The sequence below is a fragment of the Homo sapiens genome, chromosome 4 (genome assembly GCF_000001405.40).
Source record: "Homo sapiens chromosome 4, GRCh38.p14 Primary Assembly".
In the NCBI taxonomy this organism is placed as follows: domain Eukaryota; kingdom Metazoa; phylum Chordata; class Mammalia; order Primates; family Hominidae; genus Homo; species Homo sapiens.
The window spans coordinates 89,297,480-89,316,333 of record NC_000004.12 but is presented as its reverse complement, the minus strand read 5'-3'; the positions used below and the strand labels follow the sequence as shown (position 1 = coordinate 89,316,333).

General features: G+C 39.2%; 1 protein-coding gene across 8 annotated transcripts in view, besides 2 other annotated features; it reads left to right on the top strand.

The window, feature by feature from the left end:
• Window positions 8,455–8,524: a silencer, noted in NCBI's record as "silent region_15569". NCBI's record gives its function as "represses an Ori minimal core promoter by ATAC-STARR-seq in GM12878 lymphoblastoid cells {active_cell/tissue: GM12878}" and the evidence as "EXISTENCE:reporter gene assay evidence [ECO:0000049][PMID:35858748]".
• The window catches only part of GPRIN3 (GPRIN family member 3), a 71,418-nt gene continuing 61,097 nt past the window's right edge, over window positions 8,534–18,854 (top strand). For 2 of the 8 annotated variants that reach the window (XM_005262936.4, XM_047450090.1), the window contains exon 1: window positions 9,264–9,418. The gene's annotated coding sequence lies outside the window, so the exon portion shown is untranslated. Of the gene's footprint in view, window positions 8,949–9,263; window positions 11,256–18,854 lie in introns of those variants that run through there. The other 6 variants (XM_005262937.5, XM_047450089.1, NM_198281.3 and 3 more) reach the window with 5 other exon arrangements.
• Window positions 8,535–8,584: a silencer, noted in NCBI's record as "silent region_15568". NCBI's record gives its function as "represses an Ori minimal core promoter by ATAC-STARR-seq in GM12878 lymphoblastoid cells {active_cell/tissue: GM12878}" and the evidence as "EXISTENCE:reporter gene assay evidence [ECO:0000049][PMID:35858748]".

Here is an 18,854-nt window from a genome sequence, read left to right as displayed (position 1 = left end):
AATATACTGTGTCTGGCATACTGTAGAATCTTAACAAATGTTTGCTAGTTAGAACTTTTCAATAATTTTTAAGGCTTCTTCTTGCTGCAGGAAATCAAGAAAAAAAATTATGCAAACTTCCCTAAGCAGTTTCAGTGCAAAACATTATTTCCTCCATCATCTTCTGAATCACAAGAATGCAAACAAAATTAATCCTTGAATCATGTATAATTAAAACAATGGCTATTAGAGCTGGAATATTTGTTTTAAAGAAGCAATGTGAGTGTGTGTTAAAATTGTTAAGGGTTATATATGTACATTGTAGTACATTGGGATTCTTTGAATAGTTGATGTACACAACTTATTTATATTATTTTTATAGATTTTAGAACATAGCCTTATTTTAAATGACTGCAGAGATTTTAGTATTTGTTTCTATGAAACAGTGTTAGTTTTTAAACTCTGAATTATTTTATTACTGTATTCATGATCAGAGAAGACAGGCCTAATTACAACACTATTGCTATAGGGAAAAACAACCCACTTCATACTGATATGCATTGTGATTCAACTTCTACAAACATGGAGATTTCCTATAGTAAATGGATAATTAGAGAGACAAGCCATTCCTGGAAATAACAAATTGAAATGATTTTCAATTAAATGATTAGAAGAATTAAGTGTTTTTGTTAACTAGACAAGGCTTTTTTGTATTTATCTTTCATGTGTATAAAAGATTTCCATAAAATCTGGCAGCATTTAGACAAATGTAATCTTATCAGAGACACCTTCAGTCTATATAAAATAAAACATATTATTTTTGTATCTAGATTTATGGATCCCTATATACATATATATATTTTCTGTGTAATAAGCAACAGAAAAAATAGGATATAGAGAACCATTTTTTTGAGGTTCCAAATTTCTTTGAGGTACCATTCTAGAAGATTTATTGGGTAAATCAGACTTTCCATCTTCTGCAATCTAGGAGGCACCGCGTTTGCAGAGTATAATTCAAGTCATACTGATTGAGTGGTCCAATTTCATTATAACCAGACAAACTTAACCAATCTGGGGCAAACTGAACACATTCATCAATCCATAAACATTATGCTTATGACATGAGTTCATTCATTAACTCAGTCATTAACTGATATAATGGTGGTGCTGAATGCCAAATCACTGTTTATTCTTGCATTGTTCTAGAACTATATTTTAGTTTTAATTTATTTTGCTTTATTTTTCTCTTGTTATGTGATACCACGTTTCTACCAGAAATATTTATAGTTCTGCATTGGAAAAATAATAACCTATTTAATATATGGCAGATTAGACTTGTCAAGAAGAAAGAACAAGAGGCCAACTGGTTGGCTCATGGGCTATTTTAGGTAGGGTCCCTTGGGGATGTAGTACCTGTGTGAGATTAACACAGGCCAGGTGTTTAGTTGTGTGGTTTGCCAAAGTCAATTCTATCAGTTCACTCCAAGTGTGATCACACTCTGGGAAAATTATTTGGACTGGAAAAACCTATAAGAGAAGGACACGAAAACCAGAGAATCAATTTATTTATATAAGTTGACATTTTGGCAGGATAAGTGTCATTGATCAAGTAATACACCAGGGAAACTGAGTTAGAGATTAAAAGGTTGCTCAGTAAGCTCAGCCTAAGTGTAATGGTAGTTAAGAATTCTTAAAAAGTATTCTTTCAGGCTAAACTAGTTGTTCAAATAATATTTTCAAGCAGCTTTATTGAGATATAACTCACATACTATACAATTCACCCTTCTAATATGTACAATTCATTGTTTTAGTTCATCCACAGGGTTGTGAAACCATTACCGTAGTCTAATTTTAGAACATTTCATCACCCCAAAAAAATCTCATACCCATTAGAAGTCAGCTCCCATTCCCTCTTTTCCCCAGCCTTACTGCCCTAGGCAAACACTAATTTACTTTCTGTCCAATCGATCTGCCTATTCTGGATATTTTATATTAATGGAATTCTGCAGTATGTGGTCTTTTGCGACTGGCTTTTTTTTTAACTTAGTGTAGTGATTTCAAGGTTCATCCATGCTGTAGCATGTATCAATACTTTGTTTCTTTTATTTCTGAACAAAATTCCATTTTATAAATATGCGACATTTTACTTATCCATCCATCCATCAGTTGGTAAATATTTGAGTTGGTTATACTGTGTGGATATCACTTATAATGTTGCCATGAACATTTATATAGAAGTTTTTGTATGGACATATGTTTTCATTTCTCAAGGGTATATACTCAGGATTGAATTCCTTGGTCATATGGTAACTAAAGTAGCTTCACCATTCTTCATGCCCATGAGTAATTTGTGAGTGTTCAGTTTCCCCATATCCTCACTAGCACTTGCTATTTTCTGGTTTTTGATAATAGACATCTTAATGGGTATAAGGTGGTACTTTAATAAACTTTATTATGGTTTTGATTTGCATTTCTCTGATGGCTAATGATGTTGAGCATCACTTTATGTGCTTATTGGCCATTTTTATGTCTTCTTTACAGAAATGTCTGTGGTCCATTTTCAAACTGGAGCATATATTAATATCATTATTATATTAATATAATATCATTATTTCACTTTTTTGCCAAATATTATATATATACATATATATATACCGCATTTTATGTATATGTGTATTTATGTATATATATACATACCGCATTTTATGTTTCCATTCATCAGTTGATGTCCTGAATAGAATAAAAAGTCAGTGGAAAGACAAATGTGCTCTTGTCTTGAGCTGGGGCATCCATCTTCTCCTCGCTTTGGACATCAGTACTCCTGGTTCTTGGACCTTTGGGTTTGGACTGGAACTATACCACCAGCTTTCCTGGGCCTCCAACTTACAGATGGCAGCCTCCATATTCACGTGAGCCATCAACATCATACCTCTCTTTCATTATATCTATATACCTCCTAGTGGTTCTGTTTCTCCGCAGAACCCTGAATAACACAAGTGACTATGAAGAAAGGGAATTTCAGGAGGAGTTAGGGTGGGGCACAAATAACGAATTCATGTTGTTGTGGAACAATATATTAGTGTGTTATAAAAACTATAATTGCAGGAATGGAACATGTAAAATTAGGAGCCGCAAAAGATGAGGCAGTAGGACAAGGAGTGATTCGAGTATCTATTATCCAATCAGTCGAACAAGCCTATGTTAAGAGTATTCCAGATGGAGACAATCTAAACACTCAACAATAGGGCATTGATTAAACATACAATGGAATACTAAGTACGACCAAAAATTGATGCTGGAGAAGCCTTATTTAGTAACAAAGAGAAAGGGGTGGAGAGAGAAGAAGGGGAGGAAGGAAAGAAGAAAGGGAATAAGTGGGGAAGGGAGGCAGAGAGGAAGGAAGGAGTGAGGGAGGGAGCACAGGAGGGAGAAAAGAGGGAAGAAACAGGAGCCTGACTTATATGCTTGCCATGATCTTCCAGAAATCCAGACACACTCAGGTAATATCAAAATGGACCTTAATGTTAGCCTTCAGTGTTTCTCCACTGATTCTCTGGGGGAAGACACTGCTATGGGATGATCCTACAACCTGCCTTCCTTCTCTCTTACCAACACAAGCTCAGTTTTAATTGAGGCAGCAAGATGTCTAGCCTAGGAAAAGCAAGATGAGACCATGGCTGCATGCTAGATGCTTATTTCCACAGCCTCCTTGAGTGATCTAGTGACCACATTCTGGCCAATGGCTCAAGGGAAAGCAATGAGTTCTAGAAAATATATTTTTCCTGCATGAAAAAAAATATAAATATATATGTATAAAAGCTGTTGTCTTCACTGAGGTTCTGTTTTTCCGGCCTTGTGTGCAGTTTGTAAAGATATGATTTTTAGAAAGATGGCAGCCTTCTTGTAGTCATTCAGCAACAAATCTATTTTGAGTCCAGTACTGGGCAGAAGGCAGGGATATAAAGGAATTAAAAGTGATGGTCCCTGTGCCCAGAAAGCCTGTAATACCAAGTGTCAAGATGTGCACACACAAATTAACTTGAAAAAATTACAAAGCAACTTACAGTATTACTCAGTGCCAAATAACAGAACCAATGGCAGCCCTCCAGAATCCACTGTTGGTAACTCTGTCCTGCCAATTCTTCTTGCCAATCCAGTTAAACTGATGAAGTTTTTAGGAAAGATGTGACATTTAGAGAAGATTCTAGTCTCAAATTCTTATATTTTTAAAATTCATTGCTGCTCCTGTTTAAACACCACTAACACTTTCACTTGGAAAGGAAACACACTGTCCAAAAAGCACTGGGCTGGACACTGGATCTTAGTCTTGGTAAAGCCACTAAATAGCTGTAGGACATTGTAAAGGTTCACTTAAATGTCTGGGATTTGGGTTCCCTAATTTGCAAACTGAGAGTAACAATTCAGTAACAAATATTTACTGAGCATTTAATAAGTGTTGGACACTGTTTTAGGCAATAGAAATACAGCAGTGAACAAAAGAGCCAAAGATCTCTATCCCACTGAAGGTAGATGTACAATAAGCAAATGTATACCAATCAAGCTGTAGTACTAAGTTCAACAGAAAACCATAAAGCAGGGTAAGGGGGATGGAAAGTATGCCAGGTAAGTGTTGAGGGGAGCTACTAATTTATATAGAATGGTCAAGAAAGTCTCTTTGATAAGAGGCTTGCATTTCCTTTCCCATATTGGGTGTGTGTGTGTGTGTGTGTGTGTGTGTGTATGCACTCCCACGTGCACTGGCCTGCTTGTCTAGGGGGAGAGAAGAGGAGGTCAAATGACTGAAAATAGTAAAAAGCACTTAGTAAATTACTTGGCACTGTGTGAACATAATGTATTATTACCATTGTTATTACTGTGGATTAAGCCTAAACTCCTTAGCTTGACATTTAAGATCCTTACAACACAACCTTCCAACCTACATTTCTAGTTTTGTCTCCATTCTCCTGGATAAACCTAACTTGCAAATGAAATGTTCACTTCATCTAATTCACTTGGCAATTAATAATATACCAGCTCAAGTTGCTTCTATTGTTTCTTCTGTTTAAATCCTTTGTGATTTCATTTTTTATAAATTCTGTGTTCCCAATGAAATGACAAACTTCCGTATATCAGTCTTTCTACAAATGCTTTGAGTACAAAAGGCATTCAATAGCATTTATTGATTTCGTTTGATGGACTGATTTAATGTGTATCATCACTCTGAAAACCATCACCCTGTTTAGAATTTGGTGTTGTACTCAATTCTGCATGAGTTTTGAATCACCTTATTCATCACGGAACTGTGTACTGTTTGAGTAGCAGAATTTTTAAAACCTTTGTATTGCTAAAGAGGTCCTTTAATTGTATTTAGGATGTCCCTCAAGGATCATCTCAGTGTCAGTCAGACCAAAAGCAGCTGTACATCTTATATGTCTTTTTCATGAGCATAATCCAATGTGTCCTTTTCATGATTTTTTCATGACTTTGAGGTATTTCTTGTCAATACTGATTTGTTATTGTTGTCTCTTGAATAACTTCCCTGTGAATTTTTAAGCTATAAAAACTTCCCAGCAGTCTGAGAAATGAAACAGAGGAGAAGGATGAATAAGGTCTAGTAGAAACTACAGAATAAGTACTAAATGTGGTTTTGATAGGCAGAATAATGACCCTCTCCAATGATATCTACACCCTGGGACCTATGAATATATTACCTTACATGGCAAAGGGACTTCACAGATGTGATTAAGAACATTGAAATGGGGAGATTACTCTGGGTTATCCAGGTGGACCCCATGTCATTACAGGGGTCCTTCCAGGAGGGATGCAGGAGGATCAGAGTTGGAGGAGATGAGGCAAGAGAAGTAGAGGTTAGAGTTCTCCAACCAAGGAATGCAGGCAGCCTCTAGAAGCCAGAAAAGACAAGGAGGGAACAGGTGATTCCCCTCAGTCTCCAGAAAGAGTGCACAGCCCCTGCGGGCCTTTGATTTCAACTCTAAAAGATCCATTTTCAGATGTCTGACTTCCAGAACTGTTAGCTAATAAATTTGTATTTTATTCAGTTGGTGATACTTTGTTGGCAGCAACAGGAAATGAATACAGTAAGATAGTACAAACAGACCTAGACAGAACTAGAGATAGGTCACAACCTAGTCCCTACCACACATATAATATATTAAATGTATAATCTCAGGAAAGTCACCCTATCTCAGTTTCCTTTCCTGTAGAGTGAAATTATATCTGCCTTACTGTGTTGTATAAAGACAAATAAAATTATTCACATGAACACTTTGCAAAGTGTTTCATCCTATACAAATGTTAGGCCTAAAACTTTGGCTTAGTTTGCTTAATGAGAGGGAGAACTGGAATAAAGACATCTGTGCTTAGCATATTTATGATATGAATACTATGATGACATAAATATTATGCCACAACCACTCCTGTCATAAAGATGTCCTTTTAGAAGCGGCCTAGTGTAGGGAAGATGACCCAGCTCCCTTCGTCTTCAACCAAAATGAACATGGCTAGCCGGAGAACCCAGACAGAGCCAGAGAATCCTTCTTAACCCACCTTCAGGAAGCAGCTATCAATTAACTACACCTGGCATAAAAGAAGAAACTTATTTAAAATCCCTGATCTAGGGGCTTAGAAAGTTTGATCTTTTTTTTTTTTTTTTAATACTTTAAGTTCTAGAGTACATGTGCACAACGTGCAGGTTTGTTACATATGTATACATGTGCCATGTTGGTGTGCTGCACTCATTAACTTCTCATTTACATTAGGTATATCTGCTAATACTATCTCTCCCCCCTCCCCCAACCCCACAACAGGCCCCGGTGTGTGATGTTCCCCTTCCTATGTCCATGTGTTCTCATTGTTCAATTCCCATCTATGAGTGAGAACATGCGGTGTTTGTTTTTTTGTTCTTGTGATAGTTTGCTAAGAATGATGGTTTCCAGCTTCATCCATGTCCCTACAAAGGACATGAACTCATCCTTTTTTGTGGCTGCATAGTATTCCATGGTATACATGTGCCACATTTTCCTAATCCAGTCTATCATTGACGGACATTTGGGTTGGTTGCAAGTCTTTGCTATTGTGAATAGTGCCGCAAAGTTTGATCTTTTGGCCAGTAGCATGGGCATTACCTGGGAGCTTGTTAGAAATGCCTATCCTGGGCCAGGCATGGCTCACGCCTGTAATTCCAGCACTTTGGGAGGCCGAGGCGGGCGGATCACCTGAGGTCAGGTGTTCCAGACCAGCCTGGCCAACGTGGAGAAACCCTGTCTCTACTAAAAATACAAAAATTAGCCGGGCGTGGTGGTGGGCGCCTGTAATCCCAGCTACTTGGGAGGCTGAGGCAGGAGAATCGCTTGACCCCGGGAAGCGGAGCTTGCAGTGAGCCGAGAGCGCGCCACTGCACTCCAGCCTAGGAGACGAAGCAAAAAACAAAAAACAACAACAACAAAAAACTAAAAAAGCGTTTCCTCAGTCCCTACCCCAGACCTATTGGATCACAATCAGCATTTTAACAAGACCCCCTAGGTGAGTCCTGTGTACTAGATGAGAGGATATATTTTGGATTGGTTTGAATCCCAGCTGAGCAGGTTACTACTGTGTGACCTCAAGCAAAGTGTTTAGATCATATAAGCCTGTTTCCTCGTCCACATGGTAAGGCACCTCAATGGGTTGTAGTAAGAATTAAAGAGGCTGAGGCTGTATGTAAGGCATTTTTCACAGAGCCTTCCAACAAATACCCAGTTAATAATGAAGCTCTTTTCATCGTATCATTTTGCACCATCTACAGCTGCTAACCATACTACACATCCATTCAGGATTCTGGAGCTGCTCAACAGGGAAGATTTCCAAAGCCCTCAAAGCCCTCCAAGCCCATGGGGTAGCGGGAAGGGGATGGGGACAGGAACACTGTCAGCAGTGCCTCTCCGAATACGCAGGATACTGTACATTTTGCAAAACATATTACTTATCGGATGATCTTGCTTTCAGATCTCCACTGCACGTGGCTTTATTGGAAACCTTCTGCTAGAGTCTAGACTCAGCCATGGAGTCTGGTGACCTGTGGGAGGGAGCAAGGGCCAGAATGCCTGCTAAATCGCTCTGGGTCCCCAGCCCTCTTCCTTAATCCCTTCTTAACTTTCCATCTGTCTCTGGTCTCCAGGGGTGCAGAACCACAACCCACCAGACCCCTCCTAGCTCCCGGCCCGGCGCTCAGCAGCCTGGGCTGCAACACTTTCCCCCAGGACCGGGAAGGCGGGGGAGGGGGTTTGGAGGGGGCGGAGCTCGGCCTCCTGCTGCCGCCGCTGCTGCTGCCGCCGCCGCCGCCTGCAAAGCTGTCGCCCCTCTCTCGGATGCTCAGGCTGGGCAGCGCTGGACAGATGGGTACACCCCGGGCCTGACGGATGAACAGTCGGGCAAGTGAACTCTCACCTCCAAACTGGCTCTGCGCCCGGCGGGGGCGGCGGCGGCGTCTGCAGCCCCGCGGTGGGGGCAGCCCCCTCGGTCTACGCCCGACTGCTGCGCGCCGCCTCTGCTCTTGGCATAGTAATTTCAGTTCCTGAACGCACGGAGCTCGCTCCGGGACCGGGCTGAGAAGGACCTCAGCTCGCGGGCCCGCCGGAGCCATCGGTGTGGCGCCGAGAGACGGTGCTTGGGATATGCGACGGGAAGCCCCCGCCACAGCGCAGGCAGTGGCCCCGCCGCGCCGCGGAGCCGGGCAGAGCAGGTAGGAGACGCCCCCTGCGCACCTCCGCCTGGCGGCCAGCGCGGGGGACCGGAGCCTGGTGGTGTGCTCTGTAGGGATGCGGAAGGGATTCGGTCCCACATTTTGCACAGGGATCCTTTGCCTGTTGCTCTTGTCTCTGTCCCATCCTGCGCTCTAGGAGGGGCAGTCTTTCTCGCAGGTGATGAATTTCTCTGCAAGGTCATTGCTCTCTTTGGCTCTGGCTTTGAAGGTAAATGGGAGAAGACGCCTGCTGATCGTGGGCAGGGAAATTTATAATCAATCGGGTCTGCACACTGCGAATATCCGAATATGAGGGGTGTGTGTGTGTGTGTGTGTGTGTGTGTGACATTTGTCTCATTTTCCTATGCTTATCCCCTTTAAGGTCAAAACATAGAAATATATATTACATATGGATGTATGTATGTGTGTGTATATACACACACATACATAAATGCATATGTAAATAGGTTTTCTTGAGGTAGGCAGAAAGAAGAGGAAGGGCGGGCAGGGGTTGATAAAGGGAAATCGTTGTAGAGACATGTTCACTAATAGAGGCGAACTTTGGAACCACATTAAATCAGGGTAGAGACTAGAGGTGATAAACGGTTCTTTCAAGATGGGCTTTAGAAGAGGTCTGAAGGAGCCTGTCAGCCAACACACACAGAAGATCTTCATGCTCTCCAGGCAGATGGAAACGATGTAGGCATCATTTCAGACGCAATAATGGACAGTGAAAGAGGGAAAAAAGGAGAGGTACTTAATATGCCACTGGGAAGTGAATTTTGGGTGATGGGAAGGCATCGAATCCAGACCAGGTTTCAAGGGCTTTCTGGAGGGCCATTGGGAGAAATCACCGCTTGGGGTGTAGGCAGTTCAAGGTTAAGACGATGTGAATGTCCACAAAGCAGCCGAGGAGGTGGGCAAAAGGCAAGGGCTTGGAGGGGGAGGGGAGAAACAGAGCTCTGAGCAGTCACTCAAGAAGCACCCACCTTTGAGTAAGGTGTCTTCTTCCTCTTGGTTAAAGCGGTACTTGGGTATGCTCCATCTAAATATTTTCACAACACATTTGTTTAAAGATCCATTGGACTATGTTTTTATTTTGTTTTTGCAAGGTATCTGGGTCATGGTGGGACTAGAAGAAACTGAAGTGTTTACAACACCAGCAAGATTTGGGAGAGAGGGTTGATTAAGGCTTTGCTTCATGAAATATTTACACATCTCCTGCGTGGGCTTTTGTTTGCTCTTGTTGGTGCTGCTGCATATTTTACTTTGATAATGCTTTGAGTGTACTTCGCCCGAATGTGCTTATTTTCCAGTTATAACCTATTCTTTCTTTTCCCATTGTGCTCACCATTGGCCTGCCCTGAGTAACAATTGTGGGAATAAAGGTACATGAGTCACAGCCCAAAGCAGAAAATCTCTGCTGCTATCTGCAAAAGACAGGAGTTTGCGTTAGAGAATGTTCTTTTTCGAGTTTTTGTGTGTGTTTAGTTTTTCAAGTTTTGTGTGTCTTTAATCGAGGGAATAGGTTATTGATTCAAAAGAGAAAAAAAAAACAGCAATTGCAATTGCAGGCCTAGATGTTATATGATTGAAATTTATTTTGGAAACAGCAGAGGAACTCATGGAGAGCCATGTACAGTGTGTTGTGGTGTGGTGAGCCTTCACCTAATCACTAACTAGACTTCTACGAAAATGATTAGGACAAAATCACAAGTGCATCAGCTTCACATGGGAAGTAGAGGACTGAGGCGTTGTATGAGTCAGATCAGTGTCAATTGGAGGGCAGGCTGGATTCCAGCAAGCTGTTTTGAAATTTGAGTGTTTTAATTGCCTCAAAAAAATTGCCCAATATGCTTAATTATTTGTTCCTGCAACATTTTCTTAATTATGCCTCAACATACTTAAAAGACTATATTTAGATCCAGCTATCCTTCACTGTTTGAATTTCCAGTTGCAAAATCTGCAGCTTGCAGGAAACACGGAAATATTGGTCTTGGAATCACAAAATTATAAAATGTTGGGCTCAGAGAAGGAGGACACATGATTCTAGCCACAGCTCTTATTTGAGCTCTTTCATTGGCAGCTGCTCCTGCCCTTTATGCACTCATTCATTCACTTTTTCATGAATATATGTTGATATATTCAACATATATTTAATCCTGGACTGGACATGGTCCTAGATTGTGGAATAGAAGAATAAACAAGACATAGTCTCAGCCTGCAAAACTTGGGAGGGACACTGCCAGCAACCGCTGGTGGAGTGCCCTGACAGGGTGCTGTGGAGGCCAGGGTAGAGGTGGAGAGAATAAGGAGAGTTTCCCATGGACCTGAAAGATGAGAGGACCTAGCCCAGTGAAGAAGAGAGGGAAGGACATTCCTGGCACGGGGACCAAAATAAGCAGAGACCAAGGAAAATACATAGCTCCAGGTGGTTGAAAAACAGTGTGAGTACATAAAGATGGTAAGACGAGAATGGAGAGGGCAGCAGGATCCACCTACAAACTGAAGTCCAAAAGGCCTGCCAACTCATCTGGTCAGTAAACCATTTTATCTGGGTGATTTAGGTGAATGCATTCATTTTGAGGATCTATGGTATTCAGATTACCCAAATTTATATTCTTCAAATATCTAGAAATTATATTTACCTTAATTTACAATAGGCTGCTTAAAGGGGGAAAAGTCTTAATTATTTTTGGCTCAAATATTTCATCTACAAATGTCTACCACCTACTTTGCATATTAGAAAAATAAGAGAGAGAATGAGGGAATAGAGGTTTGAATTATGTAGAAATGAGTTATAAAAATTCAAGGATTCTTATTTTTATGAGAATAGGGCTCAGGGGAAAAGAATGACAAAGAGTGTATATTCTAAGTATTTATTTGTCCTAGATGACTCCAAAAGGCAAACATATGATAGTGTAAAAAACAGACTGAACAAACAAGTAACTCAGGAACACAGGCTAAACAGACCCCAAAGGCCACATACATTTTTAAAAATTATTTTTTAAATGAGAGAAATAGTTACAGTAATCCCATAGTAATCATTAAGTGCCCTTCAAGAATGGTGCTTTTCAAACTAGCACACTGTGAAGTCAGTTTAGTGAGTCTGATCAGCATTTTTATTTTTGAAAAATAAAATACTAAAACAGAAGAGTAAGTATTGTTCATGAAATTCCTTAAATATATATATACGTATGTGTGTGTGTGTGCAAGCCTGCATAATGGACTGTGATATAAAATGTATACCTCATTATACATCATTTTCCAAAAAGTCTGAAAGCTACTGCTTTAAGTGATACAAAGAAGAGATGTTCCCAGTTTGCAAGATGCCAAGAGCCGACCAAGAGATCTGACAGATCTGATAGACAAGCATTTTCCGCAATATTCTGAATAGCATAATTGCCTGATTGAGGAAGGCAAGACTTACAATTTAGTGAGTACATGGCAGTAAAGTCAGAGAGCAAGATCCTTGGGGACTGAATTAATCTGGAAAGGCTTCAAGGAGGAGGGGGATCTTGAGTTAGTTTATAAAAGATGGATGGACCTGGATGTGCAGTGAGGAAGGGGTGCTGATTTCATGTCTATAGAAGGAGGAAGCAAAGAATGAGGAAGTAATGGCAGTTATATTTAAGAATCATTTAGAAAAGAAGAAATAAATATCAAGTTGGAAGAGAACTGCAGTAGAATTTCTGCTTGGACTGAAATATTACATGAGTTACTTTTTAAAAAAATAAATTTCATTGTGTATATTTAAAGTATACAACGTGATGTTATAAGATACATACATACATATTTTATATATTTTTTATATATACACATATATACATATTTTATATTTTTTATATATAAATATATATAATGGTATACATGTATATACATAAAATGTAAAATGGTGACGGTGTCTGTAGTGGAACCAAATAACGTATACATCTTTTATATCTACTACTTTGTATCCTTTGACCTGGATGCCCCCTTTTCCTCCCCTGATCATCTTCACCCTGGTAATCACTGTTTTATTCTCTAGCTCTGTATATTTGACCTTTTTTGAGTTGTTAATTATTTTATGACTAAGATCTATTTTCCTAATACTGCTACTTTAAGAAAATCTAGCCAGAGTGGCCATAACATCATAAATCTGCCATTTCCTGCCATCTTTTTATTTATTTTGCAGTAATTTACTGGTTAGGCCTTGTTCAGTTGAATGTTACTGTTGAACTATTGACATTACGAGATACACCACATTGTGGCGTGATTATTTCATTTCTCAGAATGCAACTACAGTCGTTGGCACAGAAGGCCGAGGTGGTCATGTGAGGAACTGACAGGCTGTGAAGATGAACCAGATCGCTTGGTAGCCATGAACTCCTAAAGGAACGGCAGCATCTGCCATATTTTCTTTTCGTCAGTTGCTCTATGACTTGTCCATCTTCTTAGTTAGATATTTAAATATGTTTGTATGCATTTCTAGAAAATTTATTCTTGTGTTTTGCTGTACCCTAACAGTTATTCTGAAGAGACAAAGTTAGAGAAGAAAACCTTTACTTGTGTTCCTGAACATTTTCTTGGTGGGCTTCATTCAGCTCTTGGTGTCTTTTCTCTGGAATAGAACAATTTTGTGATATTTTCACCCTTTTAAATGAAGCTATACCTTAAAACAGAAGACCAGGGCCAGTTAAGTCAGAGATTCATCTGCTTGAATTAGTTGATTTGGAATGCAACCAAATATGGAACTTTGCTTTTTTTAAAAAAATAAAAATGACTTGGACCTCTTTCTTATCCATATCAGAGTGTTCAAATTAGTGATAATCTAACTTTTTGCACGTAAGAGTCAAGTCTGGAATAACAAAAACATTTAGAGTCTGCATTTGGATTGAAATTCTGAAATTACTGAATTTCAGGGAGAAAATGTATACACTCTTACAATTTAAATTACGTACTCTCTTGAATGCCAGTGAGAAAAGTTTTCACAGCTTTTTAACTGGGCATATTGGAGTTGGCAACATAGTAACAGCTTTCTAATTGTTCATGTCGGTAATTAAATTATTGGCTTTATTTTGAAGCTGGCAGCATAATCTGGGGCCCCAATTATTATTACCAGGCAGTTATAAATGACCCTAATCTGAATCTGAATCTGAATCTGGAGGTGGGGCTTAGAAATCTGTATTTTTATAAAGGTCCCAAAAGGATTCCAGTACCCAGATTTGGAAACCATTGCCTTTATTTACAAAGAAATAAATGATTACAGATGAGTCCCAAGGAAGTTAATAACTGTTTCTAGTCACTAATAGAGCTGAAGCTAAAAATCCAGAACTCCTCTTTCTAATTCCCCAGTAATTCTTGGCTAAGGGAAAAAGGACCAGGACCTGAAGACAATGTCCAAGAGTTTTCTCCATGGTGAGGGAGGAGAATCAGTTACTGTGCACCCCTTCCTCCAAAATTGAGAGTCAATTCAGTAAGTCTGTCTAAATGACAATGCCATGATCTCATCTCTGTCCCAAGGGTCTAGCGTAGCAGAAATATCGTGGGGATCAGCTGGGTGATCTAAGACAAGACAATTTCTTGGCCTTACACACCAGATTCCATTTAAAATTTTTAATTCTTGGATCCTAAATAGCGTGGATACCAAGCCACCTCTAGAAGATTGGTTTAGTCAGGATTCACAGCTTTGTGACACTTACAGAAGCAAGAGAACCCTTAAAAAAATTCTGGAGGCTGGAAGAGTAAAAACTCACAATGTCAGGCATCTCTGGGGACCTCAGCATTGTTGCTAATTCAGTAATGGACAGCTGGAGGACGGAGATATATCTCCAAAGCCCCTTTGACAATCACATTTGCATCTGTTAATTTTCTGGAGGAAAAAAGAGTTACAGAGAATTTTTTTAAAACTTGAATTGCAAATAGTCCATCCAAGTGGGAGATCTGGTTTATGAAGAATAATCAGATGCTTTATGTTAATAGATTCTTGATTGTTTTTCAGAAATCAGTTGTTATTGATTTCTAAATAGCATAAAATTAAAATAAGCATATTGTGTCTATGGGAGACTCTTCTCTTTCTTTATAATGTATAACTTTGGTTTAATGAAATGCCTGAGGGAGTGAAGTGTTTGTGTGAACTATATTTTCTGAGTAATCAGAGCATTTTTTGTTTCAATTCTTGTTGACAGTTTTTCTAAAATGTAATTAGCCTGCAAATATTATCAAGATTTGAACTTTTGCATTGCCTCTGTGTCTTTATTCTGAATTATGACTGTACAGGACAGATATGCTGAATATAACATAGAAGTTTTTCTTGTAGTTCTTCCTTTTGACTCTGTGATATGAATGTGCTTTCTCAGTATACATTTTTTTAAAATTGTTGTTCAAAAATGCAAAAGACATTTGACTCACTGTGAGTTCCACTTTCTTGGAGTTTGATCTTTGCCTTTGCCATTACATCGCTTTGAAATGCTCATTCCTTCACTCTAAATTAGTTTCTCAATCCACTCAAAGCATGGTTTCAAGCTCCATGATTGCAGCAAAACTTTTGTAATTCTTAAGACCTGTTTCTAATTTATTTTATACATAGCATGATTCTTAAATTTATACTTAGTCATATTGTTAATTAAGCATGCCTTTCTTTGAATTTTTCTATAAGGTATTTCTCCTTGAAAAATGCAGGTAAAAATGAAGCAGCTAAAATTGTAATTGTTAATTAAAATTAAGAATTTTAAATTCCAGTAAAAATTTTAGTCAGAGCTAAAGTTAGTAAATGCATGTTCATTTTCACCTGCATCCTTGGTTGGGTAAAAATTGCTTATGACAAAGTGGGTATGGGTGATTGTTCTTGTTTTCATGTCGAACATGTTCTGAAAACAGTCAGAGAGCAGAAGTCTATCATTGTCAGGGTAAGGGGCTGAGCTCTGATTAAGTGAGTGAAAATGCACTTACAGTCTCCTTTCATATGAGGGATTGTCTACCCAAGTGGATTCTCAGAGCAGAAGAAAGCTTTGCTGTGAGCATCTGAGAGACCTGGTACTCTTCACTTTACCTGTCTGGGCCTCAGATTTGGAGATATATGTACCAAATCAGAATTGAAAACTGGCAGTCTGTGGGCCTAGCAGGAAAACTGTGGCCTCCAGGTATTTATTTTTTAATTAAGCCAGTGTTTAAACATCAGATCTATTATAAAAAATGAAGCCCTCACCCACATTCTCTAGGCTGGAGCTGAACAGCAATATATATGCTACTTCATTACTTCGCTGTAGTCCCCACTTCTCAATGTCTCACTGACATTGAGCATTTATATAAGTCACTTGTGCCCAACAGCTTCACTTAGTTGTGTTACTACCCCAAACCTGTAGGTATTGAGTCTGTAAAGTCTGGACTACTTAGGTGTTCCCTAAGTACCATTGAGCTCCAAAATGCTATGACTGTACTCATGAAATTGATGTGTCTACAAAGCAGAAAGGTGATGGCGCCAAATATAGTTAACCCCCATTAACCATGGTGAGGGTCTAAAAATTTTGCAGTATCAAAATTTGTAGAGTCTGTGAAAGTTTAATGAATAAAAATTGAGTTAACGTAGTCTGTTAAAGAATAACGGAGTTTTTCATCTGTGTACTTGCTTGCTTTTTACTGTACGACAAGTGGCAAATGAAAAATATTAGCAGTTTTAACAATAATGTAATTTATTTTTTCTTTACCTTAAAGACCAATGACTGAGATCTCACATTGGATTGCTTTATGTATTTTTAAATGCACCATATCTTTATCTTATGTATAACTTTTTACACATAGACCAAACTTGCATAGCTTCCTGAAAGTCCAGAGTGTATCTCAATCTTTCAAGTGATGCTGCATTTTATTTAGCAGGCCTGGCAGTTGAGATAAACTTTCAGGAGTAGTATCAACTCGTATCCCAGCTTGTGTTTCTGTATAGCCTGGAAATGCTCAGTTAATGATTACAGTAGGCTGTGTTTGCAACCCCTCTCTGAGGCTAGGCAGATCACTGCACAGTCTGGCCACTTGATTGTGTAGAACTGCTCCGTTACTATGGCTAAAAAATGAGGTGACTGCATCAGGGTTGATTTATTCATGTTGCAAATAAAGACAAATGCCCTTTTGGGGCAACAAGATGGAAAACTCAGACAGATCTCTTCGGTAGGGAAAGCTGTCTTCATAGCGCTCTGAAATCTCTCATGCCTTGTCAACTTCTCCTGCCACTTTCCTTCCTCATGCACACTTGCTGCATACCACCCCCACTTCGTGCCTCCTACTTTATTTCTAAAAACATCCCCTCATCTAATTATTAATCCTAAAGTGTCGGTGTTTCAACAGCTTCACTCCGAGAAGACAGTGCCGAGAATAGTACCAATCGAAACTAACAGAGGACACAGTGCCACATTGACTCTATGCTTTCTTTGAAGAGAGTGGCATTTCCTTATAGAATGGTGGCTGTGTTTAAGTATCAAGCGTCCTGTCACCTGAAATGGGTTGATAATATATAAAAGACCATAGGTGTTAAAAGTCTTTAGAGATAAAGTTATTTTTCTGAAAGTGCCATTTAAAACACAAATTTAGTTCACTGAAATGTTTATGCTCTTTTACGAAGAAACTGTTCTGCTATTCCCCTGGTGGCTATTTTGATGTTTAGAACTATAATGATAGGTTTTTAAAAAATCCTCCCTCTGGGGTTTGTGGCTTTTGAGTGATGAAATCTGAGCCTCCGAGAGGGAGGGGAAAAGTTAATAACCTGAGCTGGACTGGATTGAGAGCATGTCAGCTCCTTCTACTTTGCAAATTGAATCAAAGCTTTCCTCCAACTGGAAATAGGAATTTATTTAGGAGGTGAGAGATAGAATGTGAAATGGAGTTGGCAGAAGGCCCTGGTTTAAGAAAGGTGAATTCTTTGGATCATTTAATAAATCTGTATCGAGCACTTGAGATATATATATATACATATATATATATGTATGTATGTAAAACCCTGTTTTGTGTGCTAGGGACTCAAAATTGAATAATACATAGTCTGAACTCTCAAATAATTCCCAGACAACGGGAATAAGCTTAGTAATAAATATAGTTCAACAAAATTAGAATGGGCTCTTTTCCTGGTCATGATCTCAGAGAATTCCCCTGGTAGCCTAACAACCTGGGTCCCTCCTCTGTCCTAACCAAGCAGCCCTGTACCTCTTTCTTCCTTCCTGTATGCTGAGCAATTCAGCTTCATTTCCGTTCCTCTTCACAGCTTCACCACCTGCTTGCCACACCTGGGTTCCTTTCCTCCCTGCCAGGCTAACTTGAAAACTGTATGTCTTTCCCATACTCCACTTCCTTAATGTTGTAGAAAATAAAGTCACAGACACATGCATTTTTGACTTAGTTCTCCTAAAAACAACTAAGAAGCAGAGGGTAGCAGAAGTGACAAAAACGGAACAGATATAAGATGTAGAATTCTTACAAGAGTCTGCTGGTATGTGTACTACGAGAAATTTCTTTCTCATGAGGATACCAGAACCTCAGTGTAACTTCATTTCCATTTTTTTCCTATTTAAGAAAATATCCACACATGCCAGTGAAATGAGTGAGAGTGACATTATTATAGAAATAACTTGATTTTTGAGGTTAATATAATTCATTAGAGAAAACAGCTCTAAATTATACTTTAATAAATAATTTGCTGTCATTGGTACTTTATCATTGCTCATAAATTGTTTGTGATACACAAGTGTATTTTAAGACTGCTTAAGGGCCGCTGTTTTAGATAATTGCTTAGACTCTCAGGAAGCTCTTCCACCCTTGGGGAATGATCTTGAGTCAGATCATTATTGGGGAATGTACCCATTCCAATGGGACTGTAAATACCCAGCTATTTATGTAGCTGCTCTGTGAAATATCCCATGCCTTCTGGCTATCTTTTTATTCTGAGGAGGTGCTCACCACTCTCCATTGGTCTCCCTCTCCAGGGCTTCAACCTTGGAAGTTTAAGTGGTAATTCATGCCTCTGAAATGCCTAGTAAGTGATTCCATCTCTGTGTATTTGCCCTGACTGGGAGGAGAACCTCCTTTGCCTTGGAGCGCAGAGACTGGTGGTGTAGGGGAAATAAAAGAAAAGAGATGGAGCCTCAATTATAGAATTAATGATGATGAGTGG